The sequence below is a fragment of the Homo sapiens genome, chromosome 19 (assembly GCF_000001405.40).
Source record: "Homo sapiens chromosome 19, GRCh38.p14 Primary Assembly".
Lineage (NCBI taxonomy): Eukaryota > Metazoa > Chordata > Mammalia > Primates > Hominidae > Homo > Homo sapiens.
The window spans coordinates 17,660,400-17,686,213 of NC_000019.10; the positions used below are offsets into that span (position 1 = coordinate 17,660,400).

A 25,814-nucleotide genomic window follows, 5' to 3' on the forward strand; every position below is an offset into this window, starting at 1 on the left:
CTTCTGGCTATTTTCAACCACTTTTGTTTTAACCCAACGGTCTGTTTTCGGTTCAATTGTCTTTCCTTTTTGACCCAATTATCTATCAGCTTTAGCTGCATTGGTGTTTTGTTTTGTTTGTTTGTTGGTTTTTGGGTTTTTTTTTTTTTTGAGACAGAGTCTCGCTCTGTCACCCAGGCTGGAGTGCAATGGTACGATCTCGGCTCACTGCAGCCTCCACCTCCCAGGTTCAAATGATTCTCCTGCCTCAGCCTCCCGAGTAGCTGGGATTAAAGGCATGCACCACCATGCCTGGCTAATTTTTGTATTTTTAGTAGAGATGGGGTTTCGTCACGTTGGCCAGGCTGGTCTCGAACTCCTGACCTCAAGTGATCTGCCTACCTCGGCCTCCCAAAGTGCTGGGATTATGGTGTGAGCTGCCACGCCTGGTCTATCTTTGCTTTTGACCGTACTGTTCGTTTGTGGCAAGTTGGTTGTTATCGAGCTTGCCCTGTCTGCCAAGCATTCATTTTGGCAAAATTGATTTTATTTATTTATTTTAATCTATTTATTTTTTAGAGACAGGGTCTCACACTGTTGCCTAGGCTAAAGTCTAGTAGCACAATCATGGCTCACTGCAGTCCCAACCTCCTGGGCTCAAACAACCCTCCCACCTCAGCCTCCCAAATAGCTGGGACTACAGGGGCGTGCCACCACACCCGGCCCTTTTTTTTTTTTTTTGTAGAGATGGAGTCTTGCTCTGTTGCCCAGGCTGATTTCAGACTTTGGAGCTCAAGCGTCCCTCCCGCCTCAGCCTCCCAAAGTGTTGGAATTACAGGTGTGAGCCAGTGTGGCTGGCCTAAGTTGATTTTTAACCAACTTGTTTTTGATAAATTGTGGTGGACCAAAGTGTTTGTCAACAGTTTCACTGGTCCTGGAGTTAGGTTTGTCCACCAGGATATGAGGAAGGAGTGAAGGACTCCCCAGTTGAAGGAGAGAGAAGGAGGCAGATTTATCCTCAAAATAGAGGACTGGCCAGGCATGGTAGCTCACACCTATAATCCCAGCACTTTGGGAGGCCAAGGCGGGAGGATTGCTTGAGGTCAGGAGTTCAAGACCAGCCTGGCCAACATGGTGAAACCCCATCTCTACTAAAAATACAAAAATTAACCAGGCATAGTGGCGTGCACCTGTAATCCCAACTACTCGGGAGGCTGAGGCAAGAGAACTGCTTGAACCCGGGAGGTGGAGGTTGCAGTGAGCAGTGATCGCACCACTATACTCCAGTCTGGGTGACAGAGCAAGACTCCATCTCAAAAAAAAGAAAAAAGAAAGAAGGAAAGAAAGAATAGAGGACTGGATTTCTCTAGAAGAGGCGGGGTATGGGAGAAAGGGAGCAACTCTTTAGGGCATGGATCTGGTCTGTGGCCTGTTAGGAGCTGGGGCGCACAGCAGGAGGTGGGCAGCGGTTGGGTGAGCGAGTGAAGTTTCATCTGTATTTACAGTTGCTCCCCATCACTCACATTACCGCCTGAGTTCCACCTCCTGTCAGATCAGCGGCAGCATTAGATTCTCATAGAAGGCCGGGCGCAGTGGCTCAAACTTGTAATCCCAGCCCTTTGGGAGGCCAAGGCAGGTGGATCACCTGAAGTCAGGAGTTCACAACCAGCCTGGCCAACATGGTGAAACCCCATCTCTACTAAAAATACAAAAAATTAGCTGGGCATGGTGGCACGCGCCTGTAATCCCAGCTACTTGGGAGGCTCAGGTACGAGAATCACTTGAACTCGGAGGCAGAGGTTGCAGTGAGGCGAGATTGCGCCACTGTACTCCATCCAGCCTGGGCAACAGAGCAAGACTCTGTTTCAAAAAAAAAAAAAGATTCTCACGGGAGCGTGAACCCTACTGTGAACTGTGCATGTGCGGGATCTAGGTTGTGTGCTCCTTATGAGAATCTAATGCCTGATGATCTGTCACTGTCCCCCATCACCCTAAGATGGGACTGTCTAATTGCAGGAAAACAAGTTCAGGGCTCCCACTGCTTCTACATGATGATGAGTTGTATCATTATTTCATTACATACTATAATGTAATAATAATAATAATAAAAATAAAGTGCACAACAAATGCAGTGAACTTGAATCATCCAGAAACCATCCCCCAACCCCAGTCCATAAAAAAATTGTCTTCCATGAAACTGGTCCCTTGTGTCAAAAAGGTTGGGAACCGCTGTTAGGTAGAAAAACGGACATTTAATTAGGGCCAGGTGCCATGGCTCATGCCTGTAATCCCAGCACTTTGGGAGGCCAAGGCAGGTGGATCACGAGGTCAGGAGATCGAGACCCTCCTGGCTAACACGGTGAAACCCCGTCTCTACTAAAAATACAAAAAATTAGCCGGGCGTGTTGGCGGACGCCTTTAGTCCCAGCTACTCGGGAGGCTGAGGCAGGAGAATGGCGTGAACCCTGGAGGCAGAGCTTGCGGTGAGCTGAGATCGTGCCACTGCCCTCCAGCCTGGGTGATAGAGTGAGACTCCGTCTCAAAAAAAAAAAAAAAAAGGAAAAGGAAAATGGACATTTAATTTAGGGAGGGGGTGGCTTGCCTTATTCCCTGGGAGAGCAAATGAAGGTGGAAGGTGAGGTGTGAGTGTGGGTGGACCTGGGGGGTGCTGAGGTCCCTGTGTGCATCTCCCTGAGGTCCCTGGCCTGCCGTTCTGTTAGAGACCCCGCCCACCCACTACCCTCTGAGTGACACTGGACACATTTCCAAGTGGAGAAGGAAGATAGGAAGACCAAAAGGCAGGGGCTACAGGAGAGGAGGTGAGGTTATACGGCGGAGTGGGGTGCGGGGGTCACAGTGCCCAGCTGGAGACAAGCAGGTTGTTGGTCTAAATGTCCACTCCTCCAGGCTAACCCCCCCCACCCCACCCCAATGACGGTGCCCACTCCCCAGCAGATGGCAGGCCTCCCAAGACAGGCACTAATGAACAGGGTACAGGAAAGCTTGAAAGGGGTCTTGCTGAGCCCTCTGGCCCCCACGTGCTCGTCACAGGCTCCTTGCTTCCCTGTGTGGTAGTGGGGAGGGGCCTTGGGATCACCAAGGTGCCCACCTTCCCATGTAACTCCCAGAACATCAATCAGGCTGAGTACTTACTGTGCTGCTCACCCCAGCCAAAATAATTCCAGTTGCCTACAAAGAGAAGGGGCAGAAATAATAAAAGGGAGCAGACAGAGGGGTGGGTGTAGGAAGGGGGCTCCCCTGCTGTCCTCACTCTCCCCAACTGCTCCCCCCACCCCAAAAGTCCCTCTTGTCCTGAGTACCTTCCCTGAGTATCACCTTCATTGCTGACACTTGCTGTGTCTCTGCTCTCCACCTTGGGAGGAAGGTGGGATATCCCTGTTTGTTTATTTTTTTCTTTTCTTTAATTTTTTTTTTGAAACACGGTCTCACTCTGTCATCCAGCCTGGAGTAGAGTGGTGCAATCACGGCTTACTGCAGCCTCCAATTTCCAAGCTCAAGTGATCCTCCCACCTCAGCCTCCTGAGTAACTGAGATTACAGGCACACACCACCATGTTCAGCTAATGTTTTGGTTCTTGGTGGTTTTCTTTTTGTTTTTTTGTGTGGAGATGGATCTTGCTATGTTGGTCAGGCTGGTCTCAAACACGTGGTCTCAAGTGAGGCCGAGTAGCTGGGATTTACAGGCATGAGCCACTGTGCCTGGCTCAGTTTTCAATGAGAGGAAAGGCTCAGTCAGGAAGTAACAAAGTGGGTATTTGGGCCCAGGGTTTTCTGACTATGATGTCTAGGGTTAGCAGTCTCCCAGTCTCCACCCTTTTCCTCTCCCAGCTCTTGGATAAGGAAAGACACACTAAATTGGAAACCCTAAGGTTTGAAACACCCCTGTTGGGTGGATTTTATCATTCTACTCATTTTATGGGTGAAACTATGGGGCTCAGAGGGATGGAGTGAGCAGCCCAAAGTCACAGAGCCTCTGCGCATCAGGGCCAGGGCGAGAACCACCTTTGCCTATCACGTGCAGTACCTGGCACTTCAGAAAAATGTCCTGGACCAGAATCCTGGCTCCTCTGACCATTGGCTGCTTTCTCTGAGAAATAGGGTGACAAAATACTCCAAGGGAGGACTTGTGGGTAAATACTGAGTGGTGGTCTCCACTTCCCAAAATGAACCTGCCCCTAGCTCTAGTCCATCTGCCCAGGGGCTCTCTGCCATTGCCTTCCTGCCTCCACTCTGCCTGGCCCCGCCCCCATTGCAACCTCTCAATGACCCCATTCACCAAGCGGGGGTTTGTAATTCCTTCCAGGCAGTGATGACCCCTCCCTGGCCAGGGAAGCCAAGGAACTTTCTCAATATCACTCCCCAAGTTAGTGTGGAAACAGGGTACCCCAGCTGGAGTATCCCAAGCCCTCCTCAACCCCGGTTCCATTACCACCCTCCTGGACACATGGTGAGGGAGACACAGATACAGGGAGAGCTGTGAGAGGGGAGAAAAGGAAGATGGAAAAGCAAATGGAAAAGGTGCCAGGCATGGTGGCTCACACCTGTAATCCCAGCACTTTGGGAAGCTGAGGTGGGCAGATCACATGAGGTAAAAAATTTGAGACCAGCCTGGCCAACATGGCAAAACCCCATCTCTACTAAAAATACAAAAATTAGCTGGGCGTGGTGGCATGTGCCTGTAATCCCCACTGCTCAAGAGGCTGAGGCACAAGAATCACTCAAATCCGGGAGGCAGAGGCTGCAGTGAGCCAAGATAGTACTATTGCAGTCCAGTCTGGGTGACAGAGGGAGACTCTATCTCCAAGAAAAAAAAAAAGAGAAGAAGAAAAGAAAGTAAATGGGAAAGGAGAAGGAGGCTAAAGAGTGCAGTGGGGTTTTGGTGTCAGCAGGTGGGAGCTCTGCCCTGAGGCTATATGATTTGCTACTTCCCCTCCACCACAGAGCAATGGGAAGTCATTTTAAGGAGGGAGACAGCTCCTCCATCCATGAAAAGACCTGGTCTGGATGCATCTGAGTGTCCACAAGGCCCAGGAAGATAAAAAATCTTGACAACTGCAGCCTTGATGGAAATAGGAAGAGGAACGTGATCATCATCATCATTAACAGACAAGGTGCAGTGGAAAGGGAAGCAAAGTTGGAGTCCCTCAGACCTGGGTTCAAATCCTGGCTCTGCCAGTTGCCGGGTGTGTGGCCTTGGGTAAATCACATCTCCTCTTGGGCCTCAGTTTCTCCATCTAAGAAAATGGGTTAGTGAAACAGCCTTCGTCTGTTGTACGTGCGCCCATTGTACATGTGCTGGCAGGATCTTCTGCCTGTGTCTGTCTGCACCATCTGACGTGGGCTGCTCGGGGTTTGTGCTGGCCCCATGAATAGTTTGTGGAATGAGTTATACGCCCTCATCCAGGATCTGATGAATGGAAGTGAAGCATCTACGAAGTGTTTTTCATGTCTCTAGATGTCCCAGATCCTTCCAACAGCCCTCAGAGTGAGGGGGCTGTCAGATGCGCTATTTCAAAGAGAGGGCCCCTAAATATCGAAGAGGGACACTGGCCTGCCCATGACCACATAGCAAGGTGGGAATCAAGCCCAAGTCTCAGAACTCTCCTTCCTTCCTTCCTTTCTTCCTTCTTGTCTTTCATCAAGCCCAAGTCTCAGAACTCTTCTCTTTCCTTTCCTTCCTTTCCTTTCTTTCCTTCCCTTCCTTTCTTTTCTTTTCTCTTTTCTTTTCTTTCTTTTTCTTTCTTTCTTTCCTCTCCTCTCCTTCCTTCCTTTCTTTCTTTCTCTCTCTCTCTTTCTCTCTTTCTTTCTCTTTCTTTCCTTCCTTCTTTTTTTGAGTCAGAGTCTTGCTCTGTCACCCAGGCTGGAGTACAGTGGCATGATCTTGGCCCACTGCAGATTCTGCCTCCTGGGTTCAAGCAATTCTCCTGCCTCAGCCTTCTGAGTAGCTGGGATTACAGGCACCCACCACCATGCCTGTTCATTTTTTTTGTATTTATAGTAGAGATGGGGTTTTGCCCTGTTGGCCAGGCTGGTCTCGAACTCCTGACCTCGGCTTCCCAAAGTGCTGGGATTACAGGGGTGAGCCACCATGCCCAGCCTCAGAACGCTGATTTCTAATACACTGTAAGTGGACACTGCACTCTCAGGACTTGTATCTCCGGACTGGAGGAGCCTTTAGACAGGACAGTCATGGGGTAGGGGAGGGATGAGGATTTCAGCTGATACCCAAGGAAGAATCAAGAGGTACTTACAGCACTGGTTGCTGGGGACAGGCAGAGGCTTGTCTTGCTCATCTTGGAACGAATACTGAAGGGGTGGAGGAAGGAGAAAGGGCTTCTCTCAGAGGGGCCAAAGGCCAGGGGACCAGGATAGTCCTCTGTTCTGTCCCATCCCGACTTCCCTCTACCTCCCAAATTCTCTCCCTCTCTATGAGAAGGATACAGGGAGTAAGAGAGAAAAGGAGAGAAAGACACACACACACACGAGAGAGAGAGAGAGAGAGAGAGAGAGAGAAAGACAGAGACAGAGACAGAGACAGAAAAAGTAAGAAACAGAGATAGAAAAAAGACTAGGGGCCAGGTGCAGTGACTCACACCTGTAATCCCAGCACTTTGGGAGGCCGAAGCGGGCAGATCACGAGGTCAAGAGATCGAGACCATCCTAGCTAAACGGTGAAACCCCGTCTCTACTAAAAATACAAAAATTAGCCAGGTATGGTGGCGCATGCCTGTAGTCCCAGTTACCCGGGAGGCCGAGGCAGGAGAATCACTTGAACCCGGGAGGTGGAGGTTGCAGTGAGCCAAGATCGTGCCACTGCACTCCAGCCTGGTGACACAGCGAGACTCCGTCTCAAAAAAGAAAAAAAAAAAAAGATGGGAACAGTAGACATTGGGGACTCCAGAAGGGAGGAAGGAGGGAGCAGGACAAGAGTGAAAAAACTACCCGTTAGGTACTGTGTTTACAATTTGAGTAATGCCATGGAATTCCAGACCTTAGCATCATGCAATATATTCGTGTAACAAACCTGCACATGTATCCGCCAAATGAAAAGTAAAATTTTTTATTTTATTATTATTATCAATATTATTATTTTGAGACAGAGCCTTGCTCTGTTGCCCAGGCTGGAGTGCAGCAGCGTGATCTCGGCTCACTGCAACTTCTGCCTCCCAGATTCAAGTGATTCTCCCACCTCAGCCTCCCAAGGAGCTGGAATGACAGGCGCCCGCCACCATGCCTAGCTAATTTTTTGTACTTTTAGTAGAGACGGGGTTTCACCGTGTTGGCCAGGCTGGTCTCGAACTCCTGGCCTCAAATAATCTGCCCGCCACAGCCTCCCAAATTGCTGGGATTACAGGTGTGAGCCACTAAGCCTGGCTAATTTTTTTTTTTTTTTTTTTTTTTTAGTAGAGACGGGGTTTCACTGTGTTGACCAGGCTGGTCTTGAACTCCTGACCTCAGGTGATCTGCCCACCTTCGCCTCTCAAAGTGCTGGGATTACAGGCGTGAGCCACTGCGCCTGGCCTCTGTGTGTTTCTTGACCCCATCATTGTCTAGAGACTGGACCACATGGGTCATGGATGCAGTCAGGTTACAAAGAGTTAGAAACAGAGATGCAGGGAAAGACAAGCTTAGAGAGAAACAGCATCTGTAAGTGAAAATCATGGGGAGACAGAGACAGAAACAAGGAAGAAACAGTCCCCTCCCACCCCAACACTCACTTCATCCTGGTCCCGCATAGCATTGAGCTGCTCCAGCTTCTTGGCCCAGTAGCGAGCCTCCTCTTCAGGAATGTCTGCAAGCAGAGCCCTGTCTGTGAGCCTGGAAGACCCTCCCTGCCGCTCAGCCTCCATCCTCCAGGCCTACTGAGCTCCACCCGGGCCCTGGCTTCTGGGGTCTTTGGCAAAGCCTCAGAAGTAGGGGTGGGTTGGTCTGCGGTCTCAGGAGGGTGGATGGAGATGAAGGGGAGGTACCGTGGTGCCTCTGACGCCCCTCTTCCCAGAGCTGAATGGAGAATAGTTGGAGGATGACAGGAGATGGTTCCTAGCCTTTACGAGGGTGGGGAAGCCATTGTTTTTATTTAATTTTTTAATTTTTAAATTGTTTTTTGAGACGGAGTCTCACTCTGTTGCCCAGGCTGGAGTGAAGTGGTACAATCTCAGTTCACTGCAACCTCCACCTCCTGGGTTCAAGCGATTCTCCTGCCTCAGCCTCCCGAGTAGCTGGGATTACAGGTGTGCACCACCATGCCCAGTTAATTTTTTTGTATTTTGAGTAGAGACAGGGTTTCTCCATGTTGGCCAGGCTGCTCTCAAACTCCTGACATCAGGTGATCCATCTGCCTCGGCCTCTCAAAGTGCTGGGATTATAGGCATGAGCCACCACGCCCAGCCCATTGTTTTTATTTTTATTTTTTTAGAGACAGGGTCTCGCTCTGTCACCCAGGCTGGAGTGCAGTGGCACAATCACAACTCACTGAAGCCTCAAACTCCTGGGCTTGAGCCATCCTCTTGCCTCAGCCTCCCAAATAGTTGGGACTACAGAAACCCAGCACCATGCCTGGTGAATTTTTAACTTTTTCATAGAGATGGGATCTCACTAGATGGCCCAGGCTGGTCTCAAACTCCTGGCCTCAAATGATCCTCCCCCCTTGGCCTCCCAAAGTGCTGGGATTACAGACATGAGAAGCTATGCCTGGCCAGCCATGGGTTCTTAGAAGAATGAGGTGGAGAGACTCAAGGTGCTTCCAGGAAAGGAAGAGGGGACTATCTGTTCTCAGCCTCTGTCTACATGTCTCTCTCTGTCTCTCTTTGTCTCTCTGTCTCTGTCTGTCTCTCCTCCTATCCCCAGTTCACTGTTGCAGTCTCAGGCATCACCAAGGAACAGCCAGGATAGCTCAACCCTGAACGCCCTCGGTCGTGAAGCACTTGCAGCTCACTGGGAAGCTACGGGGCCCAGGTCATGGCCCGCACCCAGCAGGTTCACATCCCTGTTCTCTGCAACCCAAGAAACTCTCTCTCCTCCGGGGCGAAGGACCCTCATTCTCAGCCTGAAGGGTCAGCTAGACCTACCCAGGCCTGTTCACTCTCCTGGAATAGCTGAGTGAGTCCACAACTGGGGCTGGGGCTGGGTGAAGGTCCCGGGCCCCTGTACTCACCTAAGGGTAGCTCAAAGCGCGTGTCCAGGAGGATGCGGTGGAAGGTGGGGTCCTTGGTGCCACAGATCTCACTGTCTGCCATGATGACCTGGGAGTCCAGCGTCAGCCACTCTCCAGGGCCCTCCTGGGGGTTGGGGGAGGAGGTGTGTGGGTCAGGAATCTGCTGGTCACTAGTCCCCAGGGCCCCTACTCTCGCATGAGACATCCCCCTCACCCCTACCCCAAAACCAAAGTCATGTCCCCTCTCTATCTTTCCTTCCGTCCTTCCTTCCTTCCCTTCCTTCCTTCCCTCCCTCCCTCCCTGCTTCCTTCCTTTCTTTCTTTCCCTTCCTCCCTTCCTTCCTTTATTCCTTTCTTTTCCTTCCTTCCTTTCTCTCTCTTTTTTCTTTTCTTTTCTTTTTTTTTTTTTTTTGAGACAGAGTCTCGCTCTGTCGCCCAGGCTGGAGTGCAGTGGCGCGATCTCGGCTCACTGCAAGCTCTGCCTCCTGGGTTCACGCCATTCTCCTGCCTCAGCTTCCCGAGTAGCTGGGACTACAGGCACCCGCCACCACGCCTGGCTGATTTTTTGTATATTTAGTAGAGACGGGGTTTCACCGTGTTAGCCAGGATGGTCTCAATCTCCTGACCTCGTGATCCACCCATCTCGGCCTCCCAAAGTGCTGGGATTACAGGCATGAGCCACCATGCCCGGCCTAATTTAATTTTTTTGAGACAGAGTCTCTCTATCACCCAGGCTGGAGTGCAGTGGCGTGATCTCAGCTCACTGCAACCTCCGCTTCCCAGGCTCAAGTGATTCTCCTAACTCAGCCTCCTGAGCTGCTGGGATTACAGGTACGTGCCAGCACTCCTGGCTAATTTTTTGTATTTTTGAGTAGAGACGGGGTTTCACCATGTTGCCCAGGCTGGTCTGCTGAGCTCAGGCAATCCACCTGCCTCAGCCTCCCAAAGTGCTGGGATTACAGGTGTGAGCCACCATGCCCAGCCAAGGCTTCCTTTTAGACTCGCTTACCTAGATTGTTGCAACCATTTCGTCCCTCTGCATTCATTCATTCAAAAACAAACACTCACTGGCCAGGTGCGGTGACTCACACCTGTAATCCCAGCACTTTGCGAGGCCAAGGTGGGCGGATCACTTGAGGTCAGGAGTTCAAGACCAGCCTGGCCAACATGGCGAAACCCCATCTCTACTAAAAATGCAAAAATTAGTTGGGTGTGGTGGCAGGCCCCTGTAATCCCAGCTACTCAGGAGGTTGAGGCAGGAGAATCACTTAAGCCAGGGAGGCAGAGGTTGCAGTGAGCCAAGATTGTGCCATTGCACTCCAGCCTGGGTGACAGAGTGAGACTCCATCTCACAGTAAAATAAAATAAAATAAAATAAAATAAAATAAAATAAAATAAAATAAAATAAAATGACAAAAACGAACAAACAAAAAACAGTCCCCAGTCCCTCCTCTATGCCTGGTTCATATTGGGTGATGCCAGGGTCCCCAAGAGGCCCAGCCATCATCACCCTGGCTCCTGAGAGCCCATAGCCCTTGGAAACAGGGCTGGACACAGGCACCCCCAGCCCCATGAGGTCATAGCCCAGAGGGAGGAAGGAGGGCTAAAGGATCTAGAGAGAAGTCAGAGAGGGCTTCCTGGAGGTGGGCACATGGGAATTTAGAAGGTGATGGAAAGGAGGACACTTGAAGCTCAGGGAACACACTATGCAAAGGTTCAGAGGGTGGAATCTGGGAGGGGTAGAGGTTAGAGTGTGGGGGGAGATGAGGCTAGTGGGCAGGTGCCATCTGAAGGGCCTCCCAAGGCAGATGGACAGGGGAGGACAGATCAGAGCTCCAGCTAATAAGGCCTTCCTGGGGTCAGCATGGAGAGGTTGAGACTTGAGGTTAGGAGGCCAGGGATTGGGCTGTGGGGACAGATGAATAGACATGACCACGGCCTGGCATGGTGGCTCGCACCTGTAATACCAGCACTTTGGGAGGCTGAGGTGGGTGGATTGCTTGAGCCCAGGAGTTCGAAACCAGCCTGGGCAACATGGCAAAACCCTGTCTCTATTAAAAATACAAAAAAAATAAGGGGGGCCTGGTGGCATGCACCTGCAGTCCCAGCTACTCAGGAGGCTGAGGTGGGAGGATCACTTGAGCCTGGGAAGTCGAGGCTGCAGTGGGCCATGATCATGCCAATGCACTCCAGCCTGGGCAACAGAGTGAGACCCTGTCTCAAAAATAAATAATTAAATAAAAAATAGACATCACTACTACCTGCTGACAATGATGCACAGGCTGAGGGGCCAGGGTTGTTACCTAGCACCTTCTTATGAGTTGGTGTAAGCTTCCTGCTGCTGCCCATCTGGGACACAAAATGCTAATTGCCTATATTATCCCTTTTCTCCTTCCAAGGTAATACATTTTTAGCTGTGCCTAGGGAAGCACAGCCCAGGACTACATTTTCCAGCCTAGGACTACATTTCCCAGAATCCCTTGCAGCAAGGTGTTGGCCACATGTCTAAGTTCTGGCCAATGAGATGTGCATGAACCACCCCCCTCCCCCACCACCAGCACCTTTCGGTGGTTGGAATGAAGATGCAATGGTGAGCCTAAAGCAGCCATTTGGGGCCACAAGGTGGAAGCCACATGGAGAGAGAGGCAGAGCAAGATGGAAGGTGTATAGGCTCTAGTGACTTTGGAAGGTTCGTGGCAATCCCAAGTGTCTACATTGATGTTGTCAGGGGATAGGAGATAAATGCCCATCTTGTTTAGTCCACTGGTCTCTGGGCTTCTGCAAGGCACTCCTCCTTCTTCACCCTCAGGCCACCCGCCACTCACCTCATTGGACTGGCGGATGGTCCTCAGTGGGATCCACACAGTGCCCACCATTGTGTCCCAGATGAGACCCTTATTCCACACCTCCACCGTCAGTCCCAAATCCAGACGGTTAATCTCGCTGCAGAAAAAGGAGAGGGGGCGTCGAGGGAGCAGGAGGGAGGAAACGGGGGCCCAGGGAGTTTAGTTGATTCGCCTGAGAACACACAGCATACTGCAATTCAAACCTAGGCCTGGGAGTGTCCTAGGTGGTAGGGTAACATGGTGGTTCTCATTTTATAGAGGGGAAACTGAGGCCAGTGGGGGAAGTTAAGAGCTCGGGGTATCACAAAAGAACCAGGATTCAAAGCCGGGAAGGATGGCGTGGGGACAGATGTTACACATCGCCTGCACCTTCATCTTTCTGAGCCCTTCCTTGGGCCCTCCAACACTGACCATGCTGGGTAAGTGAGGAAGAGGCTCAAATACCCTCCATAGCTCCCTTTACCTACAGGATAAGGACATTCGGGTCACCTCTGTCCTTCCCAGTGTCATCCCCATCTAATGATGTGAGGACACGATCCCACCTCAAAGCACTTTCCCTGCAGGCCTCGCCCTAGACATATGTGAATTCGGGGGAGCAGGAAACTTGGTGAAATGTGAGATTCACTGAATTTACAGTTTACCAAAGATTTATCTTAAGAAATATATTTTTAAAATATGGCCAACCACGGTGGCTCACGCCTGTAATCCCAGCACTTTGGGAGGCCGAGATGGGCGGATCACCTGAGGTTGGGAATTTAAGACCAGCCTGACCAACATGGAGAAACCCCATCTCCACTAAAAATACAAAATTAGCCGGGCGTGGTGGTGCATGTCTGTAATTCCAGCTACTCGGGAGGCTGAGGCAGGAGAATTGCTTGAACCCAGGAGGCGGAGGTTGCGGTGAGCCGAGATCACGCCATTGCACTCCAGCCTGGGCAACAAAAGCAAAACTCAGTCTCAAAAAAAAAAAAAAAAGTATATATATATCTGATATATATATCTGTTGGCTGGGATTGGTGGCTCCTGGCTCATGCCTATAATCCCAGCACTTTGGGAGGCCGAGGCGGGTGGATCACCTGAGGTTAAAAGTTCAAGACCAGCCTGGCCAACATGGTGAAACCCGGTCTTTACTAAATACACAAAAATTAGCCGGGCATGGTGGCACGCACATGTAGTCCCAGCTACTCGGGAGGCTAAGGCAGGAGAATAGCTTGAACCCAGGAGGCAGAGGTTGCAGTGAGCCGAGATTGCACCACTACACTCCAGCCTGGGCCACAGAGTGAGGCTCTGTCTCAAAACAAAACAAAAAAAAAAGGAAAAAAATTCCATTGGCCAGGCATGGTGGCTCACATCTATAATCCCAGCACCTTGGGAGGCTGAGGTGGGCGGATCACCTGAGTCCAGGAGTTTGAGACTAGCCTGGCCACCATAGTGAAACACCATCTCTACTTAAAACACAAAAATTAGCCGGGTGTGGTGGCACACGCTTGTAATCCCAGCTAGTTGGGAGGCTGAGGCAGGAGGATCACTTGAACCTGGGAGGTGGAGGTTGAAGTGAGCCGAGATTATGCCACTGTACTCCAGCCTGGGCAACAGAGTGAGGCTCTGCCTCAAAACAAACAAACAAACAAACAAAATTGGTGGCAAGGCCTGGGAAGGCATGATGCCCTGAAATTGTAGCTTGGAGGTAGTGGTCAGGGAGGGCTTCACTGAGGAGGTGACACAAGCTGAGACCTGAAGGAGAAGAGCCAGCTGGGGACAGGAGAGCAAGTGCAAGGGCCCTGGGGCAAGAACAAGCTGGGAAGTGTTGGAGAAAGGGGCAGAGGTGGGTGTGGCTGGGGCAGGTGAGGGAGATAGAGCGAGAACCTGGTGGGAATCACGGGGAAGGCTGTGGGTTTTATTGTGAGGTCGATGAGCCACGGACAAGTTTGGAACATGGGAGCGACAGGATGTGATTTGCAGTTTTAAAAATATCCCCCTGGCTGCCTGGAGGAGAACAGATTGTAGGAGGTGGATGGCACAGGAGGCCAGGGCGGAGGCTGGCGGGCAGCAGGGACTTGGCTGGTGGCTGCGGAGACCAAGGGAAGTGATTGGATTGGGGATGTGTTTTGGAGGTGAAGGTGATAAGGTGGACAGGGGAAGAGGGAGGACAGAGGGGAGTCACCCGGGATTCCCCAGTGTCCAGCTCTGCCCTGAGGGGCCAGCGAGGTGCTGGGCTATGCCAGGGAGTGAGGTCATGCCAGACGCTGCAGACTCACAACATGAAATCCTGCTCCCAGCTGGGCTGGCTGCCCCGCACCGCGATGGTCGTGCTCTTGACATTCTGCACTTTCAGGGTCACGTACGTGTTGAATTTCTCTGTGGCAGTGAGAGTAGGGGTCAGCGCTGGGGCTCAGGGACTCTCCAATGCCCCTTCCCAAGCTCTAGACCATCTGCTGTGATCCCCTCAGGAATTTCTGGGCCACTCACCCCCTAACCCACAACCCCACCCTCAGGGCACAAGGGAGGGGCCTCAGTGTGGGGAGACGTGGAATTTTGGGATACTTCATCCAGCTGCTTCGAAATGACCATGCCATTGGTTTTCAGCTAAAAAGACTGAGGTCCCAGAAAAGGGGAACAAAATTGACTGTAAGAAACCCCCTTTGCAGGCTGGGTGCAGTGGCTCGCGCCTATAATGCCAGCACTTTGGGAGGTCAAGGGGGGAGGATTGCTTGAGCCCAGCAGTTCAAGACCAGCCTGGGCAACTTGGCAAAACCCTATCTCTACTAAAAAATACAAAAAAATAATTAGCTGGGTGCAGTGGTGCACGCCTGTGGTCCCAGCTACTTGGAAGGCTGAGGTGGGAGGATTGCTTGAGCCTGGGAGGTTGAGGCTGTAGTAAAACATGATTGCACCACGGCACTCCAGCCTCAAAAAATAAAAATTTTAAATAAAAATAATAATAATAAAAAGGCAGGGCACGGTAGCTCACGCCTGCAATCCTAGCACTTTGGGAGGCCGAGGCGGGCGGATCATTTAAGGTCAGAAGTTTGAGACCAGCCTGGCCAACATGGCGAAACCCCATCTCTACTAAAAATAAAAAAATTAGCCGGGCGTGGTAGAGGGCGCCTGTAATCCCAGCTACTTGGGAGGCTGAGGCAGGAGAATTGCTTGAACCCAGAGGCAGAGGTTGCAGTGAGCCGAGATCACGCCACTGCACTCCAGCCTGGGCAACAGAAGGAGACTCTGTCTCAAAAAAAAAAAAAAAAGAAGAAGAAGAAAAGAAAGAAACTCCTTTCGCCTCTCTGAGCCTCATTTTTCCCACCTGTAGCCCCATCTAAGAGTCCCCATTCTACCTCTTAGGACCCTGGGAAGAGCCACTGGCTCAGGGCAAGCCCCACCCCTTACAGACTCTCCAAGGATGGCTGGGGAGACCCGGGGACCCCCATACAAACTGCAGGGACCCCAGGCCAATGGCTGCCCCTCCCCCTATTTAATCTTCTGACCCCTCTCCTGATGCTCAGAAGACATAAAGCCCAACTCTAAGTCTGGGCTGGGACCCCCTCCCAGTCTCTCCAAGAGACAGACAGACAGACAGACAACACGGGACAGGACAGCAAGAGAAGCCACTTACCTTGGGCACCATCAAACTTGGCTTTTTTGACTGTGGAGAGAGACAGAGATAGGGAAGGGAGGTGGGGAGAGATGTGGGGAGGAGGAGGCAGAGATACGGAGAGATTCAGAGACACACCAAGATGGAGACATAAGGAGAGAGACACAGAGGAGAGACAGGCAAAGATAAAAAGCAAAAGAGACAGATGTTAAAAAAGAAAGATAGAAGCAATGTCAGAGACAGAGACAAGGGGAGGAGGAGAGGTAGGAAAGAGGAGGCAGGGATGAGAGGGAGAGAGAGAAGCCATCAGACAGATGAGCACAGGCAACCCTAGAATGGAAGGAAATTTGGACCCTGAGAGCATTCCCTGCCCCTCCCTCTCCCTGCATCCCCTGTCCCCATCAAACTCCCCAAGCTCCCAACTAGCTGTGCCTTTACCCACAATTGAACAAGATTAGAAAGAAAGAGCTGGGCAGATGGTGGGAGAGGCCTCCTACAAGAAGCCCTCCAGGATTGCCCCAGAAGAAGAGGGGAAGTTGAGGAGGTGGAGAAGAAGAAGGCGAGGATAAAGACAATCTCTGATGACTCCACCAGCCCCGACAGGTCAGCAAGACCTCTCCCTTGATTGTCCAGCTCAGTCTGCAATGTCAAATGCTCCCAGGGTTTGGGGAAGCCTCAAAGAAGGCTGGGTGAGTTGGGACAAAGCAACCCAGAGAGCTGGCTCTCAAAATGCATGTGGAGGGCGAGGCACGGTGGCTCACACCTATAACCCCAGCACTTTAGGTGGCTGAAGCAGGTGGATCACCTGAGGTCAGGAGTTCAAGACCAGCCTGGCCAACATGGTGAATCCTTGTCTCTACTAAAAATACAAAAATTTGCCAGGTGTGGTGGCAGGCGCCTATAGTCTCAGCTACTTGGGAGGCTGAGGTAGGAGAATCACTTGAACCCAGGAGGCAGAGATTGCAGTGAGCCAAGATCATGCCACTGCACTCCAGCCTGGGCAGCAGAGTGAGATTCTTGTCTCAACAACAACCAAAAGTAATGTACAGGGAGACACTTGGGTCCTGGCTGGAGGGTTGACAGAGATTGTCCAGCCCCACCTGCTTGTGGGAGGTGTAACCTGAATATATGTCAGGCACCCCACTGAGGTCCAGTCTTCTCACATTTCACATAATCTCACAGCCCCAAGAGATTCAAAGCCATGTCGCCCCCTCCTGGCTCTTCTCAACAGGTATTCAGTTTCCATTGCCAACACCTCTCACACCTTGCTTTTGTCCCCCACATCTTTTTCCTCCATTAATTCTCTACTCCCACCCCCAATCTTCTCCCACACTGAGCTCTTCCCTCCCTTTCCTTTCTTTCTTTTCTTTTTTTTTTTCTTTTTTTTTTTAGGGACGGAGTCTTGCTCTATTGCCCAGGCTGGAGTGCAGTGGTGCCATCTCAGCTCACCGCAACTTCTACCTCCCAGATTCAAGCAATTCTCCTGCCTCAGCTTCCCAAGTAGCTGGGACTACAGGCGTGCGCCACCATGCCCAGCTAATTTTTGTATTTTTTAGTAGAGACAGGGTTTCAGTATATGTCGGCCAGGCTGGTCTCAAACTCCTGATCTCAGGTGATCCATCCGCCTTGGCCTCCCAAGGTGCTGGGATGACAGGTGTGAGCTGCCACACCGGCCCCTTTTCTTTCCTCCCTCTTTTCTTCTCCCCTTTTCCTTTTCAAATTAGTGTCTTTGTTTGTGTAGGCAATGCATGCACATGTTGTAAAATCCAAAACAACCAAAAGATGAGGCACTGAGAATAAAGCTCTTTCCATCCCAGCCCTTCATCTCCCTCCCAAATGCAATCAACGTTGGCAGTTCCTTGTTCCACTGGAGATGGTCCATGCGTCGGCAACCATACCCACGTTCGTTTTGCTTGATTTCCAAGACAAATGGTAGCATTCGACACCCACTGTTCTAATCCTTCATGTTTTTTCAGTATGTCTTGAAGAGCGTGTACTAGCGAGTTGAAGGATAAATTCCTAGAAACAGAATTGTGTTTCTATGGGCAGATGTCACAGCCTCCCATCCCGGGTTTGTATCTCTGTCCTCATCGCTTGAATTTCTGTCTCACAAAAGGCACCTGAGTGGAGCCAGTGAAGAGAGAATTCCCGTGAAGAGCGGGGGAAGTGCGATGGCCCTAAACACATGTCAGTAAAGACTGTTCCTGGCCAGGCGCGGTGGCTCATGCCTGTAATCCCAGCACTTTGGGAGGCCGAGGCAGGTGGATCACTTGACGTCAGGAGTTCGAGACCAGCCTGAACAACATGGGGAAACCTCGTCTCTCCTAAAATAACAAAAATTAGCCGGGTGTGGTGGCACGCACCTCTAATCCCAGCTACTCGGGAGGCTGAGGCAGGAGAATCCCTTTAACCTGGAAGGCAGAGGTTGCAGTGAGCTGAGATTGTGCCACTGCACTGCAGCCCTTGGGTGGGCCTTGAGAGAAGTGAATGCTGGTTTGAGCCAGGTTCAGATTCCTGAGCTGTGTGACCCTGGGCAAGTGAACCCCTCTCTCTGGGCCTTCATCTCTGCTTCCATCTCTGTCTTTTTTTTTTCTAGGTCTGGTTTGTTCGCTCACATCCTCAGCCCCACCCAGCCCCCAGGGAGCGCACCCACCCAGCACCTCACCCCTGGGACTGAAAGAGGCTCAGGAACACTCAGGAATGTGCCCAGCAGGAGCTTTGGGCCTGGCTCCTGGAGGAGGTCCAGCCTGCAGGCGTGGGGACTCTCTGTGAAGGGGGTGGGCAGGGGAAGGGGCAAGAGGTAGAATGTGACGGGATCGGGGGTGGAGGGGATGCTGACAGAGGCTGAGAAAGGCACCCACAGCTGGAGGGACTCATACAGGGAGAGGAAGGGAGAGGAGAGAGGAAGAAATGATGGGCATGAAAGCAAGAGAGGAGAGTCTGGACAGATGGAGAGAAATAGAGAGACACAAGGAGACAGCGAGAGTACCAGGCATAGAGGCACATGCCTGTAATCCCAGCTACTAGGAAGGCTAAGGCAGGAGGATCCCTTGAGCCCAGGAGTTCAAGACCAGCCTGGGCAATGTAGTAAGATCCCATGTCTAAAAATAATAATTTAAAAGGGAGAGAGGCTGGGCGTGGTAGCCCACATCTGTAATCCCAGCACTTTGAGGCCGAGGCAGGTGGATCACATGAGGTCAGGAGTTCGAGACCAGCCTGGGCAACATGGTAAAACCCCATCTCTATTAAAAATACAAAAATTAGCCGGGCATGATGGTGCACGCCTGTAGTCCCAGCTACTCGGGAGGCTGAGGCAGGAGAATCGCTTGAACCCAGGAGGCGGAGGTTGCAGTGAGCCAAGATCACGCCATTGCACTCCAGCCTGGGCGACAGAGCAAGACTCTGTCTCAAAAAATATATAATAATAATAATAATAATAAAAGAGAGAGGGGGAAAGATTTCCACTAGGGAGGGCAGGCAGGTGGAGGAGACACTGGGGAGAGGAGAGGCAGTTGGGGGAGAAAAGTAGGGATGCATATGGGGGTGGGAAAGTGACAGGCTCTGGGGGGTGATACAAGGGGCTCACTGGGGTCTAGACTGGGCTGGGCTCACTTGAAGCTCCTCCAACTGTGCCCTGTTTTATAAACCATGGATTTAGGCTCAGCGGGGAGCCCAGTAGCTCCTTGATCTGTTCTCTCTCTCTCTTTCCCAATCCCTGTCTCTCATCTCCCTCCTCCCCGTTCTATTTCTCTCCACTCTGGTCGTCTTCTTTTGGTCTCTGTTCTCTCCTTCTCTCTCTCACTGTCTCTGCCCTTCTTGTGCCCCTCCCTTGGTCAGTCCGGCTCCTCTTCCCTAAGCCTCAGCTCCTTCCTGCAGCCTCTCTTGGCTAGAGGGGAATGGTCTCCGTTGGGGTCCTCAGGCAGTGGGGGACCGGCTGGAGGGCTGTACCCTCTGATAGCTGAAGCCAGGCTCCTGCACTTAGCTCCCTGCCGAGGTCCAGGTTGAGGACATCCATGATTTTTCATCACTGGGGCTCCCAGTGGGAGAGGGGTCTCAGAGGGAAAAGGGGACAGGAAAGGGGGCCGAGAGTGGCGAGGGGGTTCTCAGGAGGGAAGGGTGTTCGCGGTGAGGGAGGGGATTCGGGAAGGGGGATGGGCGCAGAGGGGAGGGTGGTATCGGGGGAGAGGCTTGGAGGAGGAAGGGGGCTCAGAGAAGGAACCCAGTCTCTCTCCCTGTCTTCCCCGGTCAGTAAATGGTCCCTGAGTCACCGTCTTCGTCGTCACATCCCGCCACCTCCCCGCCTGCGCCGGGTTGCTGTATCAGGGTCAGCGGGGCGGAAGCGCCACCCTTCCCCAGCGGGCTTCGGGTCACACGCATGAGGCTATTTATAGCGTGGGCGCGCGGAGGGCGTGGGAGGCGCGCCGGCGGACAGGGGGGCGGGGATGAGGGGGGTGCCCACTGCTGTCCCCAGCGACGAGCGGGTGAAGACACCGCGTCATGCGGCCTCAAAGGTCTTTGGGGCCCCCAGAAGCGCTGACTGATGAATGTAGTGGCCGTACCCGGGGAGGCTGAGGCAGGAGTTCAGGCTGCGGGACACCCCTGCAGCCTGGCTTCGCGCCTCCGTTTCTGCATCTGGAAAATGGGGAGACGGAGTGGCTGATCTCCCTTCCCTCTCCTTTCTCCTCCTCTTCTTCCCTCCTCTTCCTCCCTCACCCCTTCTGCAGAATGATTATAGTGTCATTTATACTATTATTATTATTACTGATATCTTTACTGTTTTTATTATTTGGTTGTGTTCTAAAGGTGTCCCTGGCCTGGATTCTAGGATTTGAATACCCTGGATTCTTTTCTTTTTCTTTCTTTTCTCTTCTTCTTCTTCTTTTTTTTTCTTTTCTTTTCTTTTTTTTTTTTTTTTTTTTTTTGACAGGGTCTCTCTCTGTTGCCCAGGCTCCAGGCTGGAGGGCAGTGGTGTGATCATGGCTCACTGCAGCCTCGATCTCCCAGGTTCAAGCGATCCTCCCCACTCAGCCTCTCGAGTAGCTGAGACTGCAGGTGCGCATCACCATGCTTGGCTATTCCTTTTTTTTTTTTTTTTTTTTTGTAGAGATGGGGTCTTGCTATGTTGCTATGGCTGGCTTCAAGGCTCAAGCCATCCCCTCGGCCTCCCAAAGTGTTGGAATTACAGGCGTGAACCACATGGCTGACTGACCCTGGATTCTAATTAGGGGGGACTGCAGTCTTGGGGCACTGGCTCCCTGACCTGCCACGTGGGATGGGGTGGGGAGACAGGAGGTGGAGATCCAGCCGTCTAGGGCTTCTGAAAGCCCACCCGCCCCAGGATTAGCTTGGGGGAAGGGAGGAAGCATAGAGAATCCAGAAATAGATTATAGGAGATTTGATCGTTTTGTGTGTGATGTTGGTGGAGGGCATTTCAGCGGGAGATGGATGGGCTTTAGGATAAAAGACCTCAGCTGTGCTGGTTTCGCATCTGGGAGACACTAAATGAGGACCCTTATCCTCCGTTGACACAAATAGACCAGAGCCAGACTGAGCCTTCAGTGTAAAAAACACCAAGAACCTGGAGTTCCAGAGAGCTTCGGGAATAAGGGATTTGTGTGTGTGTTGTTTACCATGAACCACTTAGAAGTAGGCCTAGCCTATAGTAGGTGCTCATTAAATAGTAATTCACGGAAGGAATGACGTCACCTCCTCCATTAATCCTGGGAGGCTGAGCTAAGAGCTGTCCCCCAGAGGCGCGGGCAGGCGCTGTCCACGGTGCTGAATGCTCGGTCCCACCCGTGTACCCTCAACGAACTAGGCTCCCTCCTGGAGTGGCCCTGGGGGACCCCTCTTGGAGCGCTCCTCGGGCCCCAGAATGCAGTGGACTCTCAGAAATGTCCTGCACTCAGAACCGCCTTCCAGAAAGCTTTTAGTCTCCATTAATAAAAACATCATCATTGATTTTTTTTTTTTTTTTTTTTTGACGGAGTCTCACTCTGTAGCCCAAGCTGGAGTGCAGTGGCGCGACCTCGGCTCACTGCAACCTCCGCCTTCGGGGCTTAAGCGATTCTCGTGCCTCAGCCCCCTGAGTAGCTGGGACTACAGGCGCGCGCCACCATACCCAGCTAATTTTTTTGTATTTTAGTAAAGACAGGGTTTCACCATGTTGCCCAGGGTGGTCTTGAACTCCTGAGCTCAGGAGATCTGCCCGCCTAGGCCTCCCAAAGTGCTGGGATTACAGGCGTGAGCCACCGGGGCCGGCCCATCATTGATTTTTCATGTCTTTTGCTCACGATTATTGGGCCTTCCCGTAGGCCAGGAGTCATGCCAGGGGCTCTGCAAGCCTCATTAGAGAGTTCTGGCAAACGTAGATGGTGGATGCTACTCCTGTGCCCATTCCACAGATGAGCACACCAAGGAATGCAGAGGATGTGAGACTTGCCAGGAAGTGGTGGACTTAGCAATTCACACTCAGGCCTGCTGGACCCAGGATGCCCTTATTGGCACCTTGCAGAAGAGGTCCATTGTATGTGGAAGAAAAGTGAGGCCAGGTTAGGGAAAGGGTTAGGCTGCAGCCCTGAAGATGCAACTCTGGAGGGCATCCCATGAGAACGGTAGGAGCTAAGACCTAGATGCAGCTCCTCCTAGCTGGAGGGTATCAGGGACTGAGTAGCCAGGAACGGAGGGATGTGTGAAGGCTTCTTAGGCAAGGAGCAGGGGAATAGCCCCGATGAATGGAGAGATTGTGACATGTCTGTTTACTAGATGCATGAGAGAAGAAAGCAATCCTGGCTGGGCACAGTGGCTCATGCCTGTAATCCCAGCACTTTGGGAGGCCAAAGCAGGTAGATCACTTGGTGGTCAGGAGTTCGAGGCCAGCCTGGCTAGCATGGTGAAACCCCATCTCCACTAAAAATACAAAAAATTAGCTGGGCATGATGGTGTGCATCTGTAATCTCAGCTACTCAGGAGGCTGAGGCAGGAGAATTGCTTGAACCCGGGAGGAGGAGGTTACAGTGAACTGAAATTGTGCCACTGCACTCCAGCTTGGGCAACAGAGCCAGACTCTGTCTCCAATAAATAAATAAATAGAAAGAAGAAGGCAATCCCAGGGCAGAACATCACTCCACAGAAGGGACTTGGCTGTCTCCGAGGTCCTGGGGTCTGAGAGAAGGCTCAAACTTCTGCCAACCCCAGTAGGCTCTAGAGTCAGTCAGCTCCACCTCTGGCTCTGTTCCACCAGGCAAGTTGTTAAAGCTCCCTGAGCCTCAGTTTTCCTCATCTGTACAATGGGGCTACTGTAAGAGTTAAAGAGGGCATGGGCATAAAAATCCTTAACATCATGCCTATGAAATGCTGGGCTGGGCACGGTGGCTCGAGCCTGTAATCTCAGTACATTGGGAGGCCGAGGCAAGAGGATCACTTGAAGTCAGGAGTTCAAGACCAGCCTGGCCACTAGAGATGTATTTGTATTTTTAGTAGAGATGAGAAACCCCATCTCTACTAAAAATACAAAAACTAGCTAGGTGTGGTAGCACGTGCCTGTAATCCCAGCTACTCGGGAGGCTGAGGCAGGAAAATCGCTTGAACTTGGAAGGTGGAGGTTTCAGTGAACCGAGATCACACCACTACACTGCAGTCCGGGTGACAGAGTGAGACCGTGTCTCAAAAAACAAACAAACAAACAAAAAAGCTGGATAAATGGGGTTTGTTGTTGATATTATTGTAAGTTGTGAAGCAAACCCACCCTCACCTAAATTCACTGATTTGTTCATGTCATTTATTCATAACATGTTTATAGAGCCTTTAAAACATCAGTTGGGCGTGGTGGCTCACACCTGTAATCCTAGCACTTTGGGAGGCTGAGGAGGGTGAATCACTTGAGCCCAGGAGTTCAAGACCAGCCTGGGCAGCAGGGCAAAACCCTGCTTCTGCAAAAAATTAAAAAGAAAAAAGTCAGCCGGGTGTGGTGGTGCATGCCTATACTCCCAGCTACTTGGGAGGCTGAGGCAGGAGGATCACTTGAGCCCTGGAGGTCAAGGCTGCAGCAAGCTGAGATCATGCCACTGCACTGCAGCCTGAGTAACAGGCTTTGAGTGAGACTCTGTCTCAAAACAAAACAAAACATCAAGTGGCCTGTGCAAAATGCTGTGAGGCACATAGGAAGATCTGGAAGTAACCCTTCACACCACCATGCTTTTGCTCATGCTGTTCCCTCCACCCAGAGCACCATCTCCCTCCTGCTCATCTCCCCCTCATCACATCTTCTGAGACTCAAGTAAATGGTGGTGGTGGAATCAGGGTAGGCTTCCCAGAGGAAGAGAGCCCTGGATACCCCACTCCTCAGCTCCCTTAGCCCTCCCTCATCTCTTTCATTCTAACCCCATGGGACGTGCAGGAGTGATGGCTAGGAATAGGGCTGGGTCCCAGAGCCAGGAACAGTGCCTGGTATACAGTAGGTGCTCAATTAATGCTTGTTGCATAAATAAAATAAGTGACTTCATGAAGGAACCAGGTGGCATTTACCATTCACAGCCTCAGGATCCTGCCAAGACCTAGTCAGTGGATTACGATGTTGGGAAGCAGCGGGGCACCACATGAATAAATAAATGAAGCGGGCAGAGATAAGGCCCATACACCATACAGGGTGGTCTGCTATGTGTTGGTGCTGGGTGTATACACAAGAGCTTGCATTTGCCTGTACTTGCTTGGGTATTTGCAGCAGTAGTTGGCTCATCTTACCAGGGCAGGCAGGTGCCTGCCTCTACATGGATATGAGTGTGCATGTGTGCAGAGTATGTGCACCATTTAAGTGCAGGTGGGAGTCTGCACATGTGTGTCTAGGAGTGGGGTGTCACTACATCAGAGACACACTGGTGTGTGTGAGCTTGTGGGTGATATGTTAGGTGGAAAACACACATATTGATGTTTGCATGTGTACATGGATGCAGTTCTGTGGCAGCTGTATTTGTTTATCTGCATACATGTATGCACTTGTGTGCAATGAAATACTCAAATGTGTATTTACTTGTATGCATCATCATCCACTTGTTGAAAGGGGCTGCTTTGAATGTCCAGGCAAGTGTTGTCATGTGCATACACACATGGCTTTGACATGTGCTTATATGAATATATATGTGCTTCATGGGGTTGGGGACCTTAACAGATATGTATGGGTACATGTCTGAGTGTTAGGACATGAGTGAATCTTTTTTTTTGAGACAGAGTCTCACTGTGTTGCCCAGGCTGGAGTACAGTGGCAGGATCTCAGCTCACTGCAACCTCCACCTCCCCTATTCAAGTGATTCTCCTTCCTCAGCCTCCCGAGTAGCTGAGACTACAGGTGCGCGCCACCACACCTGGCTAATTTTTTTTATTTTTTAGCAGTGACAAAGTTTCACCATGTTGGCCAGGCTGGTCTTGAACTCCTGACCTCAAGTGATCTGCCCACCTTGGCCTCCCAAAGTCAAAGTGATGAGATTACAGGCCTGAGCCACCGCGCTCGGCTGGACATGGGTGGATCTTTATGTGACATGTATATTGTGAGCATTCATCAGACACGTGGATACATCTATATGCGTGCTGGCAGACACACACACTCACACGTGTGTTGCTGGGACTATATCTGTAGCGGCAGACTGTGTCCTATATACACGTGTATGCTTGTGTTCACACAGGCATTTGAGTACACACGTGTGCCTACGGAATGTGCCTTCCCAGGCACATGGTCTGCGTAGAGCCTTCATACATCCTAAGCATTTGTGTCCACACAGGAACAAGTCTGGGTATGAATGTGTGTAGGGATTGGCAAACGCCTGTGGGTCCCCGGTGGAGGGGAGGGGGGACAGGTATTTCCTCAGCTGAGCTCAGGCAACACGGCAACCCATCTCAGCCTAGCTTCACTCCTGCCAAGCCCACCCCAACATCTCTCGTGCTCAGCCATCCCAGCCCCTCCCCTCTCTGGGCACCATCCCACCTCTCCCTGGGAGACTGGCCTCACCCAGCACTTCTCCCTCTCCCCACCCCTCCCTGCCTCCTACTCCTCCTCACTCCAACCTCACACCTCCCTTTACACCTGAGGGCCTTACCTCCCACCCCTGTCAACCTCTTCCCCAGCCTTGCCCCTCCCAGCGATTCCTCTCCACTCAGCCGGGCCCCTCCCTGTAAAGTCCACAGAATCCAGCACAGTCCTCCCCCAACGTCTCTGTTTCTGGAAGCCTCAT

At 51.5% G+C, this 25,814-nt stretch overlaps 1 protein-coding gene across 7 annotated transcripts in view, besides 2 other annotated features; it reads right to left on the bottom strand.

Annotated features, from left to right (window-relative positions):
• The window catches only part of UNC13A (unc-13 homolog A), an 87,019-nt gene that overhangs the window by 59,064 nt on the left and 2,141 nt on the right, over positions 1 to 25,814 (bottom strand). For 6 of the 7 annotated variants that reach the window (NM_001387022.1, NM_001387023.1, NM_001387021.1 and 3 more), the window contains exons 2-8: positions 15,613 to 15,642; positions 14,258 to 14,357; positions 11,979 to 12,096; positions 9,154 to 9,277; positions 7,718 to 7,791; positions 6,251 to 6,305; positions 3,133 to 3,168 (exon numbers count right to left, since the gene is read on the bottom strand). In NM_001387022.1, coding sequence (NP_001373951.1) covers positions 3,133 to 3,168; positions 6,251 to 6,305; positions 7,718 to 7,791; positions 9,154 to 9,277; positions 11,979 to 12,096; positions 14,258 to 14,357; positions 15,613 to 15,642 — 537 coding nt within the window. The remainder of the gene's footprint in view (positions 1 to 3,132; positions 3,169 to 6,250; positions 6,306 to 7,717; positions 7,792 to 9,153; positions 9,278 to 11,978; positions 12,097 to 14,257; positions 14,358 to 15,612; positions 15,643 to 25,814) is intronic. The other variant, XM_011527810.3, reaches the window with a different exon arrangement.
• Positions 11,537 to 11,596: an enhancer, noted in NCBI's record as "active region_14280". NCBI's record gives its function as "activates an Ori minimal core promoter by ATAC-STARR-seq in GM12878 lymphoblastoid cells {active_cell/tissue: GM12878}" and the evidence as "EXISTENCE:reporter gene assay evidence [ECO:0000049][PMID:35858748]".
• Positions 16,684 to 16,753: an enhancer, noted in NCBI's record as "active region_14281". NCBI's record gives its function as "activates an Ori minimal core promoter by ATAC-STARR-seq in GM12878 lymphoblastoid cells {active_cell/tissue: GM12878}" and the evidence as "EXISTENCE:reporter gene assay evidence [ECO:0000049][PMID:35858748]".